Genomic DNA, 20,609 nt, shown 5'->3' on the forward strand with positions numbered 1-20,609 from the left:
TTCCACTTCTCAGTTTATTTCTGGGACTAAATTTGGGTCAGAGCTGCAGAGAAGGGATGGGCCCTGAGCTTGAGGATGAAAGTGCCCCAGGGAGATTGAGACGCAACCCCCGCCCTGGACAGTTTTGGAAATTGTTCCCAGGGTTCAACTAGAGAGACACGGTCAGCCCAATGTGGGGGAAGCAGACCCTGAGTCCAGGAGACATGGGGTCAGGGGCTGGAGAGATGAACATTCTCAACATCTCTGGGAAGGAATGAGGGTCTGAAAGGAGTGTCAGGGCTGTCCCTGCAGCAGGTGGGGATGCCGGTGTGCTGAGTCCTGGGATGACTCAGGAGTTGGCCTGGATGGTTTCCTGGATCCACTTGGTGAACTTGCAGAGGTTCGTGTAGACACCCGGTCTGTTGGGCCGGGCACAAGGGTAATCTCCCCAGGACACGAGTCCCTGCAGGGAGCCATTGCAGACCACAGGCCCCCCAGAATCACCCTGCAGGAGAGAAAGGGGGGCATGAGAGAGGCAGAGATGTGGCAAAGTGGGCAGAAGGAGACATGAGAGACCCAGAGATGCCCATAGATGGAGAAGCAGATGGGAACAGACACACAGAGATGGAAAGTACAGAGATGAAGAAATGCAGAAAAAGACAGAGATGGAGACACAGGCAAAAGGAGAGAGAGGGAGAATGTTATTAATATTTCACTCCAAATCCAGCTTTTTTTTTTTTGAGATGGAGTCTTACTCTGTTGCCCAGGTTGGAGCGCAGTGGCCTGACCTCAGCTCACTGCAGCCTCCATCTCCCGGGTTCAAGCAATTCTCCTGCCTCAGCCTCCCAAGTAGCTGTGACTACAGGTGTCCATCACCACACCCGGCTAATTTTTTGTATTTTTTTTGTAGAGACGGGGTTTCACCATGTTGGCCAGGCTGGTCTCGAACTCCTGGCCTCAAGTGATTCGCCCACCTCAGCCTCCAAAGTGTTGGGATTACAGGCGTGAGCCACCATGCCTGGCCTCCAAGTTCAACCTTTAGACCCCATTTGTCACTCTCCACTCCATCTTCCTCTTCCAGATTCCTGTTGTCCACACATCATTTCGGGGGGGTCTGTGACCCTTCCTCTCCACATCTCGAATCTTCGTCTCTACTTTCTGTTCCAGCCTGTCTCCCTCATCGTGTATCTCTCCGCCTCCCTTTCTCTCTCACTCTCCCCTCCAGCCTGTGCAGGCCTTATTTCTCTTACTGGACACACACCTTCCTTCCCCATTCTCCACCAACCCATCCTTATACCTCCCTTCTGCAAAAATACGGTTCTCAGCCCCTGGATGAGGGTTCCTCGATCTGGGCACTGTGGGCATCTGAAGCTGGATAATGGTTTGTTGTGGAGGCCTGCCGTGTGCATCATAGCATGTTGAACAGCACACTTGGCATCTATCCATTAGTTGCCAGTAATGCCCCTCCATATAGTTGTGACAACCAAAAATGTCTCCTGGTATTGCCAGTGTCTTCTAGGGGCAGAATCACTCCCAATAGAAATCCATTCGCTTGGACTAATTTGTGTTTCCTGTCTTCAATTCCCCATACCTCCCTATAATTACCCTCCTATAATAATACTCACTGCTCTTCAACAGTCATTTTTTTCCCTCTTTTCCTTCTTTCCTTCCTTCCTCTCTCTTTTCTTTCTTCTTTCTTTCTTTCTTTTTCTTTCTTTCTCTTTCTTCCTTTCTTTCTCCTTCCTTCCTTCCTTTCTTTCTCCTTCCTTCCTTTCTTTCTCCTTCCTTCCTTCCTTTCTCTCTCCTTCCTCCCTTCGTCTCTTTTTTTTTTCTTTCTGACAAAAACGTCTTGCTTTGTCACCCAGGCTGCTGTCTGGAGTGCAGCAGTGCAGTCATGGCTTACCGCAGCCTCAAACGTTTGGGCTCAAGCAATTCTCCCACCTCAGCCTCCCAAGTAGCTGGAACTACAGGTGCAAGCCACCACACCCGGCTAATTTTTTTTTTTTTTAATTTACTACATATTTATCTATCTCTTTATTGCCTGTCTTCCACTTGGGGAACATGAGGTCCACGCGGCAGGAAGTTTTTGGTCTGTTTTGCCTGATGCCATATCCACAGCACCTGGAACCATTCCTGGTGCAAAATAGCCACTCGGCTAATATTTATGAAGAAAATGAAAAGTAGCTTGAGTGGACCTCTGTTTGAGGTAGAGAGAAATGTCTATCTCCCACCTGGGCACGGTGGCTCACACCTGTAATACCAGCAATTTGGGAGGCCGAGGCAGGCAGATCACTGGAGGTCAGGAGTTCAAGACCAGCCTGGCCAACATGGTGGAACCCCATCTCTACGGAAAAAAAAAAATAGCCAGGCATGGTGGTGGGTGCCTGTTATCCCAGCTACTTGGGAGGCTGAGGTGGAAGAAATGCTTGAACCCAGGAGGCGCATGCTGCAGTGAGCTGATATGGTGCCATTGCACTCCAGCCTGGGTGACAGAGCGAGACTCCGTCTCAAAAAAGAAAAGAAAAGAAAAGAAAAGAAATAAATATGTACATACTACAATAATGATGTAAGTGGTATGAATAAAATCTACTAAAATAAAAACAATTAGTATTTTTATTTTTTTAATTTTTAGTTGCCCAGGCTGGTCTTGAACTCCTGAGCTCAAGTGATCTTCCCACTTCAGTCTCCCAGAGTGCTGGGATTACTGGCATGTGCCATTGCACCCGGCTTCATTTCTTACTTACATGCATGCAAAATATGAATTACAGAGTCCTGGTATCAATTATTAGGAAAGCCAAGACTTGCCTTTTTCCCAGTAGCAGACACTGTTTCAAAGCAAACAAGCTTAGCTGCCTGTACCTCTAAATTTCAACTTTCTTGTGGTTTAATTTCTCTCATTATTTTTTAAATTTAATATCTCTGCAGAGTTTCTTTTGAGAGGCTGTTAGTTAACTGCTCTGAGCCTTGGCTCCTTGTTTGTAAAATAGGGCCAATAATAACAGGTAAATGAGTTAATGAGCTGAGGCATGCAAACCACTTAAAACAGTGTCCAGCAATTAGCCAGATGCTATTATTTTTATACTATTGGTATTAGTATTGTTGTAGTTGTTATTATTTCTTGCTTGTAGCTTTTAGTGGCCACACCCAGACCACACACCGGTATGAAAAAACAAACAAAAAAACACCTTGAGGTCTGGAAAAACAAGATACTAACCTTGCCTACAGAAAGGCTAAATAGTTTTAAATGCCACCACTTGAATGAGATGTGATTTCTTTTCTTTTCTTTTTTTTTTTTTGAGACGGAGTCTCACTGTGTTGCCCAGGCTGGAGTGCAGTGGTGCAACCTCGGCTCACTGCAAGTTCCGCCTCCCGGGTTCAGGCCATTCTCCTGCCTCAGCCTCCCGAGTAGCTGGGACTACAGGCGCCTGCCACCACGCCCGGCTAATTTTTTGTGTTTTTAGTAGAGACAGGGTTTCACCGTGTCAGCCAGGATGGTCTCCATCTCCTGACCTAGTGATCCACCCGCCTCGGCCTCCCAAAGTGTTGGGATTACAGGTGTGAGCCACCACGCCCGGCCGAGATGTGCTTTCTTCTGTTAAAAGTTTTCCCCCTCGCAACCCACCCCCCCACACCCAGGGCACAGAGAAGAAATGGGGAGAGCTGGGGAGGTGTTGCATTTGTCAGGTTTGTACAATTTGGGGGGAGCTTTTCATAGCCATGGGACTGGAGTACTCCTGAATCCCCAGCTTCCTAACTACTGTTGAAACACACACCCTGCTAATGAGAGCTTGTTAACTTACGTCCTTCTAGATCCCTTGGGAGCCTGAATACAGAGAAGGGTGCTGGTTGATGTAACAGTTTGATTTTAAATTCTGTCTTCCTCAACAGATACAGCTTCCATTAGAACATAGGGAAGCTCTGTGTTGGTGACCAAGAAATACTTGCAGAGCATTCGCCCCTGCCTACACCTCCAGCGTCACTTTCTACTGTTGCCCCCACTTTTGTTCTCCAGTTGCATTGGTTTCCTCTTCTTCTTTGAATCAGCCAAATTCCTTACTGCCTCAGGGCCTTTGCACGTGCCTTTTCTTTCCCCTTAAACTTCACGAGTTTAGCTTCTTTGTGTCATCCATTCTCTGCTCAAATGCCACCTCTCCAAGGAGGCTCCCCTGACCACCTTTTTGAATATTGGCCCTTATTGTTTACTATCCTAAAACCATGTTTTATTTTGGGGTTAACCTTTACCACTCTCTGAAATTGCCCTATTTATGCAGATTCTTGACCACAGAGTTTTTTATTTTTTAACTTTGTTCCTCCAGCCCTTCCAGCAGCTTTGCAATTAATCCCCTGTATTAAATATTCTCTTGTAAAAATACCTACCAGATTTCTCTTTTCCTTCCTCAAGATATTTTACCAGCACTTGCTAGAAAACTGTCATATTACAGATTTTGTTGAAACAAGACACTTAACTACCACACGCCTGAAAACTGCCAAAACTGACATCTGTAACACGGAGTGCCCCTATTAGATATGGTATCTTTATGCAGTGCACAACCTGCCCAACCATACAAAACAGCCCTGATCTTTCCCTCTAGATCCGTGCCATCCAATACAGTAACTGCTAGCCACATGTGGCTACTGAGCACCTGAAATGTAGCTAGTCCAAATTGAGATGTGCTGTCAGCATAACATATATACTCACTTTCAAAGACTTAATATGAAAACAAGAAAAGAATGTAAAGTATCTCATTCATAATTGTTTTATATTAATTACACTTTGAAATGATTGTATTTGGGATACATTGGGTTATTAAAGTTAACTTCACCTGTTTCTTTTTTACTTGTTTTTTTTTTTCTTTTTGAGACAAAAGTGTCACTCTGTCTCCCAGGTTGGAGTGAGTGGCACGATCTCAGCTCACTGCAACCTCCACCTCCTGGGTTTAAGTGATTCTTGTGTCTCGGCCTCCTGAGCAGCTGAGATTACAGGCGCCCGCCACCATGCCAGGCTAATTTTTGTATTTTTTTTTAGAGACAGAGTTTCGCCATGTTGGCCAGGCTAGTCTCAAACTCCTGACCAAAGGTGATCTGCCTGCCTCAGCCTCCCAAAGTGCTGGGATTACAGGTGTGAGCCACTGCGCCCAGCCTTTTTTACCTGTTTTAATGTGGCTACTAAAAAACTGGAAATGACATAAGCAGCTCAGCATTATTTCTACTAAACACCACTACTCTAGGGTATGAGCTCTGTGAGAACAGGGGTCCTGACTGTCTTGGCAATTGCTGGATTCTCAGAATTTGGCAACGCTCCATGTTACCGAGTTGGCACTCAGTGTGTATCTGCTGAATAAAGAGAGGTGTCCTCACCTGGCAGGAGTCTCTACCTGCTTTGTCACCGGCGCAGAACATGGTGTCATCTATCTGTCTCGGGTAAGCATCCTCGCACCTTTTCTGACTTAGCACGCTGATATTCAAGCACTGGAGGACCTTAGGGAAGTGCACTGTCAAACAGGAACACAATGAGAAGTGGAGAAAGATGGAAGGCGGCAGAGATGGGTCGGTATCAAGAAGAACCTGGACACTCACCTTGGGGGCTCTTGGTTGTCCCCCAGCCAGACACCAAGCACTTTGTCCCAGCAGAGGGACAATGAGAGGAGACGTTGATGGGTCTGACATCTTTAGTGGGACGAATTCTTCTGTTCAGTTTGATGAGCATGAGGTCGTTAGAGTGGCCAGGGTGGGAGTAGCCAGGGTGGGGGATGGATTTGACCCCCTGGAACATCTGCTGCCCAGATTCATAAACTGGTGACAGGGAGTAGTGGCCGAGACGGACTCTGAAAACTCTGAGGAAGATGGGGCAGGTCACCACCAACCCTGATCTCTATCTCCACGTCCAACGCCAATCCCAACCCCACACCCAGCCCCAGCCCCACCCCCATCCCCACCCCCGGTCCCCAAACCATCCTCAACTCCCTCTTGGTCTCCAATCCCATGCCTGTCCCCATCCCAGTCACAATTCCAAACCCATCCCATTCCCAACCCTAATTCTTTCCCTACCCAGAAGCCATCACCATATGCATTCTCAAGCCCAAATCCAACCATCTCCAACCCCACCCAAAACTCCAATCCCCATCCTTCATTCTATATCTGCTCCCAATCTCAACCCTATCTCCATGCTATCTTCATTTCCACCCCAGCCCGATTTTCACCCACCCCCAATTCTAAAGCCAATCCCAATTCCACCTCCATCCCAAACCATTCAACAAATATATGCTCCTAACCCCAAATCCAACCCATCCTTGGCTCCTTCCCATTCCCTACCACAACACTCTCCCCTCTCCAACCTCATCCTCCCACCTTGCTCCCCCGCAAAACTCCATCCTTAGTCCTATCCCCAACTCGACCTCCTCCTGCTCCCACATCCCCAACCCATCCCCACCAACCCTCACCTTCCATGACACCCCCAACCCCACTTCCCCGTCCCCACCAGCCCTCACCTCCATGACACCCCCACCCCCACTTCCCCACCCCCACCCCCACTTCCCCGTCCCCACCAACCCTCCTCTTGGAACTCCCACTCACTTCTTCCTGCAGTGGGCGGCCGTGAGCAGCCACTGTGGATGCACCAACACCGCCCCGCAGTAGAGCTGGTTGGGCCTTAGCAACAGCGCGGCCTGCCACGGCTGGGTGTGCATATCGCAGTCGGATCCATTGATGATGCGGCTGCTGCTGTCATCCGACCGGGCGTCTTCCCCGGCCCCAGCTCCCAGGTCCTGGTTGCTCCCAGAGGGCACGGTGTTAGAGGGGTGGTCACAGGAAACATCATTGTTGGCGAGAACATGCTCTGGGAACGGAAAATGGGTTGGGCGGGGCTCAGAGGCGGGGCTTGGGCTGGGGGTGGGTTTCAGACTCAAGAGGCCAGACCAGCTAGAGGGTGGGTGTCTGACATGCTGAGGGGGCAGGGGCAGGGCCTGGAGAATAAGAGTGGCACCTCTCAAGCCCAGGCTCAAGCTCAAGGACAGAGCCCAGGCTCAGGTAGGGTTACTGGACTCTAACTGGACCTCACAGATTCCTGGAATTGGCTAGAACTACATGTGAGGGTAAAATTGGGTACAGGATTCCTGGACAAGCTCAGGGGTAGTGCCAAAGCTGTGGGGGCTGGAGCCTGGGGATGGGAGGGAGACCAGGGCTTTAGGGATGGAACTGGTCTCAAGAAGTGGGGTCAGGCCTCAGTGAGTGGGGTCAGGGCTGGAGGCAGGAAGGGGTTTGGAATTGACTTAGTTAGGGCCAGGGTCAGGGTTACATGTTAGAGTCTCCTATAAAGAGCTCTGACTTTGGGCTGGGGGCGGTGGCTCACGCCTGTAACCCCAGCACTCTGGGAGGCCGAGGTGGGCGGATCACCTGAGGTTGGGAGTTTGAGACCAGCCTGGCCAACAAGGTGAAACCCTGTCTCTACTAAAGACACAAAAATTAGCCAGGCGTGGTGGCGCGCACCTGTAATCCCAGCTACTCAGGAGGTGGAGGCACGAGAATCACTTGAACCTGGGAGGCAGAGGTTGCAGTGAGCCGAGATCACGCCACTGCACTCCAGCCTGGGAGAGAGAGCAAGACTGTCTCCAAAAAAAAAAAAAAAAAAGCTCTGACTTTGAAGGGGGTTCTAGAAGGTACCCACAGAATAGGGGGTGGAGCCTGGCCCAAAGGGGTGTGGCCTTAGGCGGGGTCCACTAGAGTCTGGCCTAGGGGCGTGGTTGAGGAAAGGAGGTGGGGTCAGAGCTCATGGGCGGAGCTAGGGTTCCGAAAGCAGGACCAGGAAAGAAGGGCTCAGCTTAGGGGGCCACATGGAGGGGAAGAGCAGGCCTAGGTTTCTGAATTCTCAGATGAAAACATGCCTTCTCAATCCTGTCAATCTCCTCCTCTCACACACAGACCTACAGACTACATGCATGCCCCACTCCATCATCAGTCCTCCCGTGCCCATTCACTGGTTCTTACCCTTTTTTTTTTCTTTTTTTCTTTCGAGACGGAGTTTCGCTCTTGTTGCCCAGGCTGGAGTGCAATGGCGCGATCTCGGCTCACCGCAACCTCCACCTCCCGGGTTCAAGCGATTTTTCTGCCCCAGTCTCCCGAGTAGCTGGGATTACAGGCACGCGCCACCACACCAGCTAATTTTTTGTATTTTTAGTAGAGACGGGGTTCTCCATGTTGGTCAGGCTGGCCTCGATCTCCCGACCTCAGGTGATCCGCCTGCCTCGGCCTCCCAAAGGGCTGGGATTACAGGCGTGAGCCACCGCGCCCGGCCTGGTTCTTACCCTTGCTGATGGCCCTGGCACCACCATCATTCACGAACTCACCCCAAGAACCACGCGCACAACAGCAGTAACAGCCAAGCACGCACGCAGTTCTGCAGACACGCCCATGTTGCCTCCACAGGTGCAGCTAACATACAGCTCTGTCTCCAGGTACACACGCTCCCGGGCAGCCTAGCGGGATCGCACACCCTCATCCACAGTGTCTCAGTGCCACGCACAGATGCCGTGTGTGCACAGATGTTCAGACTGCCACATACTCTTCTGCACACAGGCACACACTGCAAGTCAGTCACCTGGCACCCATCTCCCAGAGATAGCTACCCCTGCACCCTCTATCCCTCCAGGCAGAGACAGAAACTCCAGACACACAGCTGCACCATCACACATACAGTAGCATTTACACGGCCTCACACAGACACACACAGTCACATACAGTCACCCCTACACAGAGCTTCAGGTAGTCACACGGTCACAAATACGGGCATCCATAACGTCACACTCAGCCACAATCACATAATCGCCTGCAAGCAGCACACAGTCACAGCTTTCCATGGTGATGACCACTTTTGTTGCACGCAATCCCGGGACCTCAGGGACAGGAACTGCAGATACCTGCAGTCATATACAATGCCAAGTCACCACACACAGCCAAACACACAGTGAACACCCCCAGTGCTACATGCATTCACCCACACAGCTGTGGAGCCACACACAATCTTAAATGCACACACAATCACAAAACCACACACACAGCCTCAAAGGGTCAGTGCCACCTGCCGCACAGTCACCTGATATGGGAAAAGGCATCCCCCTCCCCGACACACACCGTGGCAGTCACAGGGCCACATACGATCGCACAACCACAAGTACAGACAGAGACTCACATTCACCCGGTCCCGGAGTCATGCCCAGGCTCACACAGTTCCCCAGGGGACAGGCGCTCTAGTGCCGCAGAGACAGTCCTCCCAATCCCACAACCCTCCCACCCCAGAGTTCTGGTTACCTGTGACCCCCAGAAGCAAGGCTGTGATCAGAGCACAGAGCACCCACATCCAGGGGGGTCTTGCTGTAGCCATGGCCGCTGCACCTGGATGGGGAATGTCAGAGGGTTGGGAGGCCCAGGCGATCCGGGGAGCCCTTAACCCACTTCCCCTCCCTCCCCTACCTTATTTCCCCAGGTAGAGAGGAACCACAAGGACGGGCCACCATCGGCACTGCGCTGAGACCCAGGCACTATAGAATTCAGAAGATAGGAGTCTAGCAGCCTCCAGACAGGGCAAGGAGGGGACAGAGAAAGATGTGGGTGCAGGACGCACAGACACCTCTCCTTCCCTGCCTGCTGAGCCACCCTCACCAGGTCTCACTTGCCCTGTCCCCCAGGTAGGGGGTGGGGGATTTGCTCCCAGCTCAGCCGCAGACTTCTCAGGCCTGTGCCTTCCTGGCCACTGCCTCCTCCTGGGCTCTGGGCACCGGGCCTGAGTTATAACCACCCACTGCTCCCTGGGGCACATTCCCGGGCAATGAGGTGCCTATCGGGCCTTAGCAATAGCTCCTCCTGCTCCCCCTATCTCCACCCCCAGAGCACCCCCCACCCAGTCCGGAATGTCACTCCCTACCTCCCTGGCCCGGAGAATGGGGAGGGGTCTCCGGAAGCCAGGCCAGCCCCTTCCCTGCCTCCCCCAGCCTTAAGGATCTGGCTTCTCACCAACTCTGGGTCACTATTCTTGGCGCCTGGATTGCTTGCTTTCTTCTCTGCATTTTGCTCATTCCACCACTGTCTGTTCACCCTCGATACTCCTCTTTCCATCTTTGTCTCTGGTTTTTTCTCAGAGTCTTCTTCCATCTCTCTGTGGTTCTCCCTCGGCTATCTTTCTGAGTCTCTCTCAATATCTCGTGTCTCTCTCCACCCCTCTCTCTCTTTCTATCCCTCTCGCCTCTCTGTCTCTCTGTCTCTGTCTCTCTCTCTCTGTCTTTTTCTCTGTCTGTCTCTCACTCACTCTCTCTCTCTCTCCTCCTGTCTGTCTTAGGAGCCTTGTTTTGTTCTCCTTGGGCCACAGGTGTTTCTGTCTCCCTGTTCCTCCCTGTCTTTCTATGCCTCTGTGATTCTTTCTTTTTTAAAGGTTCTGAATGATTTGTCAAATATACCTTAGAGTTCTTGGCCCATTTATTTTCCTTTATTTCACTTCTGCTCTATTTGTTGACAGCATTTTTTTTTTAGATATAACTAAGGTACAACAAACTGCTTGTTCGTTTGTTTATTTATTTATTTGAGACAGAGTCTTGCTCTGTCGCCCAGGCTGGAGGGCGGTGATGTGATCTCGGCCCACTGCAACCTCCGCCTCCAGGGTTCAAGTGACTCTCGTGCCTCAGCCTCCAGCATAGCTGGGATTACAGGTGTGCCCCACGACACCCGGCTGATTTTTTTTTTTTTTTTTTTTTTTTTAGTAAAGACAGAGTTTCACCATGTTGGCCAGGCTGGTCTCAAACTCCTGGCCTCAAGTGATTCACCCACCTCTGCCTCCCAAAGTGCTGGAATTACAGGCATGAGCCACGGTGCCTGGCCCAAACTGCATATTTAAAGGGTAGAGTCTGATGGCTTTAGGTACTTGTCACATCAGCATAGTCAAGAAGATGATCATGGCCGGGCGCGGTGGCTCACGCCTGTAATCCCAGCACTTTGGGAGGCCGAGGCGGGCGGATCACGAGGTCAGGAGATCGAGGCCATCCCGGCTAAAACGGTGAAACCCCGTCTCTACTAAAAATACAAAAAAATTAGCCGGGCGTAGTGGCGGGCGCCTGTAGTCCCAGCTACTTGGGAGGCTGAGGCAGGAGAATGGCGTGAACCCGGGAGGCGGAGCTTGCAGTGAGCCGAGATCCCGCCACTGCACTCCAGCCTGGGCGACAGAGCGAGACTCCGTCTCAAAAAAAAAAAAAAAAAAAAAAAAAAAAGAAGATGATCATAGACACCACCCTGAAAACTGTGCTTCTGCCCCTTTGCGTGTATCTGGGACTCTGTTAATCTCTCTTTCTTTACACCTCTGTGTCTCCATTTGTGTCTTTCTCTATCTTCTCTTTTCTCTCTGACTCTGTGTGTCCCTGTGTCCCAGGCTCTCTGTGTGTTCTCTCTGTGTTTCTGTAGTTGTGTTATTCTGTCTCTCTCTCTCTCTCTCTTTCTTCCCCACCCCTTCCTCCTTCCCTGTCTTTCTGCCTCCCTCTCCCTGCATTTTAGGCAGGGGAGACTCAAGCCACTTTGCAGAGGGAGCTCTCAACTCCTTCTCTTGCCTTCACTCTGGGCCCAGGCCGTGGAGCACAAAGAGGCAGGGACCCAGTCTGGGAATCTGCAGGTGCCGTGGCCCGGCTGGTGTGGCCAGGCATGGGTGAGAGAGTTGGGCAGGGCTACTTGTTATTGGGAAAATAGATCAAGAGGCCAGGAGAGGGGCAGACGGCTTGGGAAATGGGCATTGGGTGGGGAACCCGAAAGGTGGCTTCTCCCTCTCCACTCCTGAGCCATCTGAGGCCACCTCTCCTGACCTCGTCTCTACGCCAGCTTTTCTTTCCATCTGCCGCCAGCTCTTTGCATCTGTCTTCGTGTCTCCTTGTCTCTGTCCTCACTAGGAAGCAAGAGCTAATGAAACATTCATCTGTGATGTGCCAGACACAGGTGTCTGTGAACAATCAGACTCAGGTGTCCGTGAACAAAATGACAAAGACGCCTGAAGATGCTGCCTTCTTTGAGCCCTCATTCCTTGAGGGCAAAAAAACAACCGAGCTGTGTTGCTCACATCTATAATTCTGTTAAAGGGGAGATTTTAGAGCACTCAGGACTGGTTTTAGTGCACAGGGAAAATACCAAAAAACCCAAAATAACAAAAACCTATTCTGAGGTTTATTTTGATTATGACAATTAATATTTCATTCATTAAAGTGACAAAACCGTGGCCGGGCGCAGTGTCTCACCCCTGTAATCCCAGCACTTTGGGAGGCCAAGGCAGGTGGATCACAAGGTCAGGAGTTCGACACCAGCCTGGCCAACATGGTGAAACCCTGTCTCTACTAAAAATACAAAAATTAGCCAGGCGTGGTGGCGGGTGCCTGTAATCCCAGCTACTCAGGAGGCTGAGGCAGGAGAATCGCTTGAACTTGGGAGGTGGAGGTTGCATTGAGCTGAGATCACGCCACTGCAGTCCAGCCTGGGTGACAAGAGCGAAACTCCATCTCAAAATAAATAAATTAATTAATTAATAAAGTGACAAAACCAGCAACCTATTTCTTCCTTAGTCTTTTAAGTTGTTTGCAACCCATTTTGGTCTAGATAAATCTTTTTTTTCTTTCTTTCTTTTAGACATCAGTTGCTTTTAAGTTTTTTTTTTTTTTTTTTTTTTTTTTTTTTGAGATGGAGTCTCACTCTGTCTCCCAGGCTGGGTGCAGTGGTGCGATCTTGGCTCACCGCAACCTCCGCCTCCTGGGTTCAAACGATTCTCCTGTCTCAGCCTCCTTCCTGTGTAGCTGGGACTACAGGAGGCACACCGGCTAATTATTTTTTTGTATTTTTAGTAGAGACGGGGTTTCACCGTGTTAGCCAGGATGGTCTCCATCTCCTGACCTCGTGATCCGCCCGCCTCAGCCTCCCAAAGTGCTAGGATTACAGGTGTGAGCCACCGCACCCGGCCTATGGGGTCCTCATAATAATGCTTGGTCCTATTCACAAACTAAGTTAATTAAACACCTTCAGACATTTTAAACTACATTTCTAAAACCAACATATTCAATCTCTTCTGGAAGTCCCTTGATTTTTAGGCACCACTTCCAAAGCATTGAAGTGAGTTTGTACATCTGAGTGTATTACACTCATAAATATGACCCATGTTGCATTCTTTCAGATATCCCAATGCTGGATATTAACTTGGCGTAACTCCATCTTAAAAAAATCACAGCTCAATTATTACACATTTAAAGCTGAAGTCACAAGGCTTTCCCTATAACAGGTGAAATTCTCTTAGACACACAAGCACCTAAAATACCAAAAGTGTAGAGATTCTGCTTCAAAAAAATAAAATTCATAAGAAGGGTTGGATGTCTAAACATTTTAATGCTCAGTTCCAAAACATCTCAGAATTACAAGAAGACTTCAGCACAGAAGAGTGGTTAGGAGCCCAAACTGTGGAACCAGCCCCTAGCATTTAAATTCTGGTGTAGCCATCTACTAGCTGTGAGGCTTTGATCACACCATGGACCCCCTCTGTGCCTTGGTTTCCCTGTCTGTAAAATGGGAACAATAATGGTATCCACCTCACAGGCTTGTGATGAGGATCAAATGAGTTAATATATGTAAGGCACTTAGAATAGTACCTGGTAAGTGCTAATCAGTATATTTTAAATTATTATTATTACTGTTGTCATGACTATCATTATTCTTATTATCCATTCAGAAAGTCAATTTCTTTCTGAATGGCTCACGCCTGCTATCCCAACATTTTGGGATTCTGAGATTCATGGATCACTTGAGGTCGGAAGTTTGAGACCAGCCTGGTCAACACGGTGAAACCCTGTCTGTACTAAAAAAAAAAAAAAAAAAAAAAAAAAAAAAAAAAAAAAAAAAAATTAACTGGGTGTGCTGGCACACAGCTGTAATCCCAGCTACTTCAGAGGCTGAGGCAGGAGAACTGCTTGAGCCCGGGAGGCAGAGGTTGCAGTGAGCCGAGATCGTGCCATTGCACTCCACCCTGGGTGACAGAGTGAGACTCTGAGACTCTGTCTCAAAAAGAAAAAAAGAAAGTCAATTTTCTCTCAATTAACTGCAGCTGATTTTGGTCTGGACCGTCATTGGCTGGGTTCCTCTTGGTGACCCTGGTGAATTTCACGGCTTTTCCGGAGAAGGTTGCTCAAGGGGGGCCCAGGTCATTCACATGACTTCATAATTCCATCAAGTCACAAAGTCAGCCACTTCCTTCCATCACGTCCCCATGATAGAATGTTGCATTTCTCTGATTCTTAAGGCAAAGATCATAGGGTCTTTCTAAAGCCCAGATCCGACCACGTCCTTCCTTTTCTCCAGGCCCTCGGGATCAGGTCCAAGTTCTTCTGCCTGGCGCTCAGTGGCATCATCTTCCGCTGACCTACATTTCCAGCCATATCATTCATTTCTCCCACCTCAAACGCCAGCCTCCACCATCCAGGACGATTCACAGGTGTCCTCACACCCCCAGGATTGTCTACATGTTGTTCCTTCTGTGAGAATGCCACCCACCCGAACTTCTCCAAAGGGTGACCTCATATCCAGCCTTCCTTTCCACCCCTCCTGGGCCCAGCCCCACCTCAACTCTCATCTTCTCTCCCTGCATCATCACCTCAACCTCCTCCCCAGCCCCAGCCTCCAGGGTCTCCCCTCTGGTTCATCCTGCACATGGCCCTAGGGCTGCCCCAGCTCACAGACTTTCCATGGCTCCCCAGTGCCCTCAGGAGAAGGTTTCAGCCTCTCATGCTGGCATCTGAGATCCTTGGGGATCTGATCCCTGCCCTCCTCTCCCATCACCGTTACCCATGCATGGTGGTCTTCCTACCCTCCCACCTTCCTGGTTTGGCTGTGACAAAAGTTTAGGCTGGGCGCGGTGGCTCACACCTGTAATCCCAGCACTTTGGGAGGCCGAGGTGGGTGGATCATGAGGTCAGGAGTTCGAGACCAGCCTGGCCAACATGTTGACACCCCGTCTCTACTAAAAATACAAAAACTAGCCGGGCATGGTGGCACGTACCTGTAATCCCAGCTACTCAGGAGGCTGAGGGAGGAGAATCGCTTGAACCCGGGAGGCGAAGGTTGCAGTGAGCCGAGATGGCGCCACTGCACTCCAGCTTGGGTGACAGAGCAAGACTCCATCTTGGGGAGGGAAAAAAAAATTTAGGGGCAAAAGCCATCTTTGAGGTATAGCACAAGGTGGAGGCATCAAGAGTGCCTTCCTGGAGGGGAGGAAAAATCAAATTGGCTGTAAAGGAGAACTGAGAATATCTAGATTTCAGAAAGGTGGACGTCAAATCAAAGCAAAAAGCCCCACTCATAATAAAATTCATTCTTTATTGAGTGCATGGTGGCCCAGGTGCTATTCCATGTATGTCATAGGTGTGAAACCTTAAATCTTTCCAACAGCCACTGCCTTATGGAGACTGTATCATCCTTATCTTCATCTTACAGGTGAGAAATCTGCAGTGAAGAAAGGTACATCCCAAGGGGACACCGACAGTAAGCAGCGGAGCTGGGATTCCAGACACGTGGCTGGGCCTCTGCAGGAAGAAATCAAACGTGTGGAAGGGTTGGGGAGAGGAGATGCCTAGAAGGGATTTTCCTGTATTCTCTTAGTGGTGGGGGTAAGACCGAGGACCCAAGTCCTCACTCATCACGTCCTCCCCAGTGATGCAAGGATGGAGCTGGGGTAAAACCAGGGAGAATCAGGACCCTCACGTCGCTGCGTTTATTAAGCATCAGGGTCAGAGCTGGGCAGGAGAGGAGGGGAGGCAAGGTCTAGGTGAGAGACGTTCTGGAACCAGCCAGTGGGGTGGTAGGTCGGGAGGTAGATGTCACATGTCAGGGTCACTTGGCCTGAATGGTTTTTTGGATCCAGTTCGTGTATCTGCAGACGTTGGTGTAGACTCCTGGCTTCTCCTTTGATCCACAGGGGATGTTACCCCATGACACAAGGCCTCGGAGGTGGTCTCCACATACCAGCGGACCCCCAGAATCACCCTGCAGGAAAGAGGGAGAAAGTCAGATACAGATAGAAACCCAGAGACTGTGTGTGTGTGTGTGTGTGTGTGTGTGTGTGTGTGTGTGTGTGTGACAGAGAGAGAGGTAGAAAGGGACAGAGGTACTTACTGAAAGATGGAGAGAAAGACTCAGGGACAGAGAGACAGAGAGAGAGACAGTAAGACACACAAAGGCACAGAGAGAGAATGGTAGAGAGAGAATAAAGGAGACTCAAAGACACAGAGATAGGAATGCCAAGATGCAGAGGAACATAGAGAGCAAGAAAGAGAAACAATTTAAGAATGGAGACTGAGAGGTGTGGAGAGAGGCAGAGGTGTAGAGACCGATGGAGAGAGAGGAGGAGGAAGAGGAGAAGGAGGAGGAAGAGGAGAAGGAGAGGAGGAAGAGGAGGAGGAAGAGGAGGAGGAGGAAGAGGAGGAGGAAGAGGAGAAGGAGGAGGAGGAGGAAGAGGAGGAGGAAGAGGAGAAGGAGGAGGAGGAAGAGGAGGAGGAAGAGGAGAAGAAGGAGGAAGAAGAGGAGGAGGAAGAGGAGGAGGAGGAAGAGGAGGAGGAGGAAGAGGAGGAGGAGAAGGAAGAGGAGGAGAAGAGGAGGAAAAGGAGGAGGAGGAAAAGGGGGAGGAGGAAGAGGAGGAGGAGGAAGAGGAGAACGAGGAGGAGGAAGAGGAGAAGGAAGAGGAGAAGGAGGAGGAGGAGGGGGAAGACGAGGAGGAGGAGGGAGAGGAGGGGGGAGGAGGAGGGGGAGGAGGAGGGGGAGGAGGATGGGGAGGGGGAGGAGGATGGAGAGGGGGAGGAGGATGGGGAGGGGGAGGAGGGGGAGGAGGAGACGATAAGACCCAGGTGGGAGAGGTAGGGAGGGCCCAGGGAGAGATATGCCTGGCACTATTCTGTCCAGGGACACCTCTCCACCTCGTGTCTTGAGGACAGTCTCGCCCACCTGCCCTTTCTTTGCGTCCAACTTGCTATGTATCGCTTTCCCTGTCTCTGTCCCTGTTTCTGCCTGTGTCTCCGTTTCTGCCTGTGTCTCCCCCTTGGTTGGTCTCTGCACATCCCTCAGTGCATTAGTCATTCTGGCATAAAGAGGAGAGCCTGGATGGATGACAATGGAGGAAACCCAAGTTAAAGTATTCGGGAGGGAGTCCCCTTTCCCCAGCTAGTGTCTCCCTCCTCCAGAGCCTGGTCGTTTCTGAGCAGGACTCGTGGGGGCTCTGTTTGAGGAAGGACAGTCCCCTCACACCATCTGCTTCCTTACTACTTCTCTTTGGTTCTTTTTGTTTTTAGACAGAGTCTGGCTCTGTCCCCAGGCTGGAGTGCAGTGGCGTGATCTCAGCTCACTGCAGCCTCTGCCTCCTGGGTTTAAGCAATTCTCCAGCCTCAGCCTCCCGAGTAGCTGGGACTACAGGTGTGTCCCACCATGCTTGCGTAATTTTTGTTTTTTGGTTTTTTTTTGAGACGGAATCTTGCTCTGTTGCCAGGCTGGAGTGCAGTAGCATGATCTCGACTCACTGCAACAACCTCCGCCTCCAGGTTCAAGTGATTCTCCTGCCACAGCCTCCTGAGTAGCTGGGACTACAGGCGCCTGCCACCACGCCCAGCTAATTTTTGTATTTTTAGTAGAGATGAGGTTTCCCCATATCGGCCAGGCTGGTCTCAATCTCTTGACCTGGTTATTCACCCACCTCGGCCTCCCAAGGTGCTGGGATTACAGGCATGAGCCACTGTGCCCATCCTAATTTTTGTATTTTTAGTAGAGATAGGGTTTCACCATGTTGATCAGGCTGGTCTCGAACTCCTGACCCCAGGTGATCCTCCTGCTTCGGCCTCCCAAGGTGCTGGGATTACAGGCATGAGCCACTGTGCCCATCCTAATTTTTGTATTTTTAGTAGAGATAGGGTTTCACCATGTTGATCAGGCTGGTCTCGAACTCCTGACCCCAGGTGATCCTCCTGCTTCGGCCTCCCAAGGTGCTGGGATTACAGGCATGAGCCACTGTGCCCATCCTAATTTTTGTATTTTTAGTAGAGATAGGGTTTCACCATGTTGATCAGGCTGGTCTCGAACTCCTGACCCTAGGTGATCCTCCTGCTTCGGCCTCCCAAAGTGCCGGGATTACAGGCATGAGCCGCTGCTCCTGGCCTCTCTGGTTCTTGATCCCGCGGCCTCCATCCTTGTCTCTGCACTTCCTGTCTCTGCTGGCTGTGTCTTTATATCTCTGCATATCCCTGACTGTGTCTCTGTGTGTTGAACTAAGTCTCTTCTTTTCAAGGCTTGGGTTCTCCCTCAGCCTGTCTCTATCTGTCTCTGTAAAGCTCTCTTTTGGCCTGTGTCTCTCTCTTCCTGTGTCTGGCCATGTTTTTGTGACTTCGTCCTGTCCCTGGCTGTGTAAGTGGCAGATCCGGGTCACCTCACCTGGCAGGAATCCTTCCCGTACTTCTCATCCCCAGCACACAACATGTTCTGGGTGATCTGGCCAGGGTAGGCATGCTCACACTCCTCACGGGACACCAGGTGGATGTATGCACACTGGATGGTGTCAGGGAAATCACCTGTTAGGGGAGAGATGGGCCAGACTCAGCCCAGGCCTTGCACTCCCCTCATCCTCCCCAGTCACCCCCCAACCCCTATAAGTCCTCCATCCTCTATTGGTCCCTCTTTTCTATTGGCACCCCTCTTCCTGTTTGTCTCTCATTCTTACATCTCATTACCATCGTCCCTGCCTCCTAATTGGTCCCTCTTTCTATCATTCTTCCCCCCCATTGGCTGTCTTCCTCATTAATAGTCTCTTCTCCAGGAGTCCTCATTTCCTATTGGTTTTCCTTTTCTCTTAGGTCCCTCCTCCACTTTTCTCTCTTCCACTGGTCCCACCTTCTTCAGTAGTTTCAGTTGACCTGGAGGACTCTTCCTCTGTTACGCCCTCCTCTACTGTACCCCTCCTGATCAGTAGTCCATTCTTCATTGGACACTTCCTGCCCATTGATTCATCTTGATTGGTCACTCTGTGACCATTGGTCTTTTCCTAACTGGCCATGCCCTCTCCCATTGGTTCTTCCTTTCTATTGGTTCTTCATCCAATGGTCCACCTCCATCATTGGTCCTTTTCTAACTGTCCCCACCCTCCCTCATGGATCCTCCCTTTCTATTGGCCCTTCCTCCAATGGTCTACCTTCCTCATTGGTCCTTTCCTAACTGGCCCTGCCCTCCCTCATTGGCTCTCTCTTCCTATTGGTCTGCTTCCCTCCTTGGTCCTTTTCTAACTGGCCTCACCATCCCCCACTGGCTCTCCCTTCCTATTAGCCCTTCATCCAATGGTCCACCTCCCTCATTGGTCCTTTTCTAACTTGCCGCATCCTCCCCCATTGTCTCTGCCTTCCCACTGGCCCTTCATCCAATGGTTCACCTTTCTTATTGGCCCTTCACACACAGGCCCACCTTCATGGATCCTGCTGATCTATTGGACCTGTTTTTTCCTCTAGTGACTCCTCTGGACCATTGATCCTTTCCCCTTAGTCCCTCTTCCATCAGCTATACCCCCATTCACTGTCTCAATTCACATCCTTCAGTTGGCTTTTGTGCTTTATTGGTTTCTCTTCTTCCATCAGTTCCTTCTCCATTATTCCTTCCTGCTGTTCAATGAATCCTGATCAGTCCCCTTTGACCTTTGACATCCTTCCTGATTAGCATCTCCCCACTGACCTTCCCTCTTTATTGAACCTTCATCTTATGTTCCATCTCTCCCATGCTATTCACCCATTGGTCTACATTTTCCATTGGCTGTTCACTCACTGGCCCAGCTCCCAAATTCACTCTCCCTCCCCCTTGACCTTTCTCCCATTGAAACCCTGTCCCATTGGTCCTCACCATTAGCCCATCTTCCCATGGCCCCTCACCAATTTTCCCACTCCCCATCCTTTGGCACACTTCCCCAAGTAGCCAGTAGCCTGCTCCCCACCAGCCTCCCACTACTGACCATCTGCTGTCTTGCCCCAGCCCAGGATGTGGCAGCTGGTGGTGTTGGCTGAGCAGTCCCTCTCCAGGGGAAGGGGCTGGATGAGTTCAGAGAGTTTGGCTGGGCGTGCCAGGCGCAACAGCATGATGTCCTGGTCATGGCTGGCGGCATCATAGTCAGGGTGGATCACAGCCCGGACAACAGAACTCTGCTCCTGGGAACTCTCCCTTTGCCGAAGGTTATGCTTCCCCAGGAAGACCTGAAGATTCCTGGGAAGGAAGAGGGCTGGGTCTCACCTGGAGCCCTTGGGCTGCAGTTGAGGCTTCAGAGAGGGCTGGGAAGTCATGAATCGCTGGCCTGCTCCTCCCACAGTCTTCCCCAGCTGGGTAAATGGCAATTCCATCCTTTCAGAATAATCTTGGGGGCTATTCTTCACTCTCTTTATTTCATGCCCTACATCCAAGCTGTCCAGAATTCCTTTTGCCTCTCTGAAGCATATCCAGAATCTGGCCACATCTCACCTTTCCCACGGCTACCATCTTGGTTTGAGCTGCCTTTTCACTTCCTACCTGAACTAGAGCAGTAGCCTCCTCACTGGGCTCCCTGCTCTGTCTCTGGTCCCCCACAGTCC

At 50.6% G+C, this 20,609-nt stretch overlaps 2 protein-coding genes and 1 long non-coding RNA gene across 20 annotated transcripts in view; 1 reads left to right on the forward strand and 2 right to left on the reverse strand.

Annotated features, from left to right (window-relative positions):
• On the reverse strand, nt 1-9,736 carry KLK5 (kallikrein related peptidase 5). Of its 5 annotated transcripts, none has more exons than NM_001077491.2 (7): nt 9,648-9,736; nt 9,445-9,512; nt 9,283-9,366; nt 6,553-6,814; nt 5,557-5,813; nt 5,338-5,471; nt 1-484 (listed from the first exon to the last, which is right to left on the reverse strand). In NM_001077491.2, exons 3-7 carry the CDS (start codon nt 9,353-9,355, stop codon nt 329-331), a joined length of 882 nt encoding a protein of 293 aa, NP_001070959.1. In that variant the 5' UTR covers nt 9,356-9,366; nt 9,445-9,512; nt 9,648-9,736; the 3' UTR covers nt 1-328. The 5 variants fall into 5 exon arrangements, with proteins under 5 accessions (NP_001070959.1, XP_011525005.1, NP_001070960.1 ...); XM_011526703.3 differs by having other exon boundaries at nt 9,634-9,736; NM_001077492.2 differs by lacking the exon at nt 9,445-9,512.
• LOC105372442 (uncharacterized) overlaps nt 6,821-20,609 on the forward strand; it is a 24,604-nt gene continuing 10,815 nt past the window's right edge. For 5 of the 9 annotated variants that reach the window (XR_007067302.1, XR_936036.1, XR_007067303.1 and 2 more), the window contains exon 1: nt 20,254-20,364. This is a non-coding gene — a long non-coding RNA (uncharacterized LOC105372442). Of the gene's footprint in view, nt 7,006-9,457; nt 9,637-14,334; nt 14,468-15,465; nt 15,514-20,253; nt 20,365-20,609 lie in introns of those variants that run through there. The other 4 variants (XR_007067301.1, XR_007067304.1, XR_007067308.1 and 1 more) reach the window with 4 other exon arrangements.
• KLK6 (kallikrein related peptidase 6) overlaps nt 15,329-20,609 on the reverse strand; it is a 10,961-nt gene continuing 5,680 nt past the window's right edge. For all 6 annotated transcript variants that reach the window (XM_024451611.2, NM_001319948.2, NM_002774.4 and 3 more), the window contains 3 exons: nt 20,000-20,247; nt 18,442-18,578; nt 15,329-16,014 (listed from right to left, as the gene is read on the reverse strand). In XM_024451611.2, the coding sequence (XP_024307379.1) occupies nt 15,862-16,014; nt 18,442-18,578; nt 20,000-20,123 (414 nt within the window). In that variant the 5' untranslated portion in view covers nt 20,124-20,247 and the 3' untranslated portion in view covers nt 15,329-15,861. The remainder of the gene's footprint in view (nt 16,015-18,441; nt 18,579-19,999; nt 20,248-20,609) is intronic.

The sequence above is a fragment of the Homo sapiens genome, chromosome 19 (assembly GCF_000001405.40).
Source record: "Homo sapiens chromosome 19, GRCh38.p14 Primary Assembly".
NCBI lineage: Eukaryota > Metazoa > Chordata > Mammalia > Primates > Hominidae > Homo > Homo sapiens.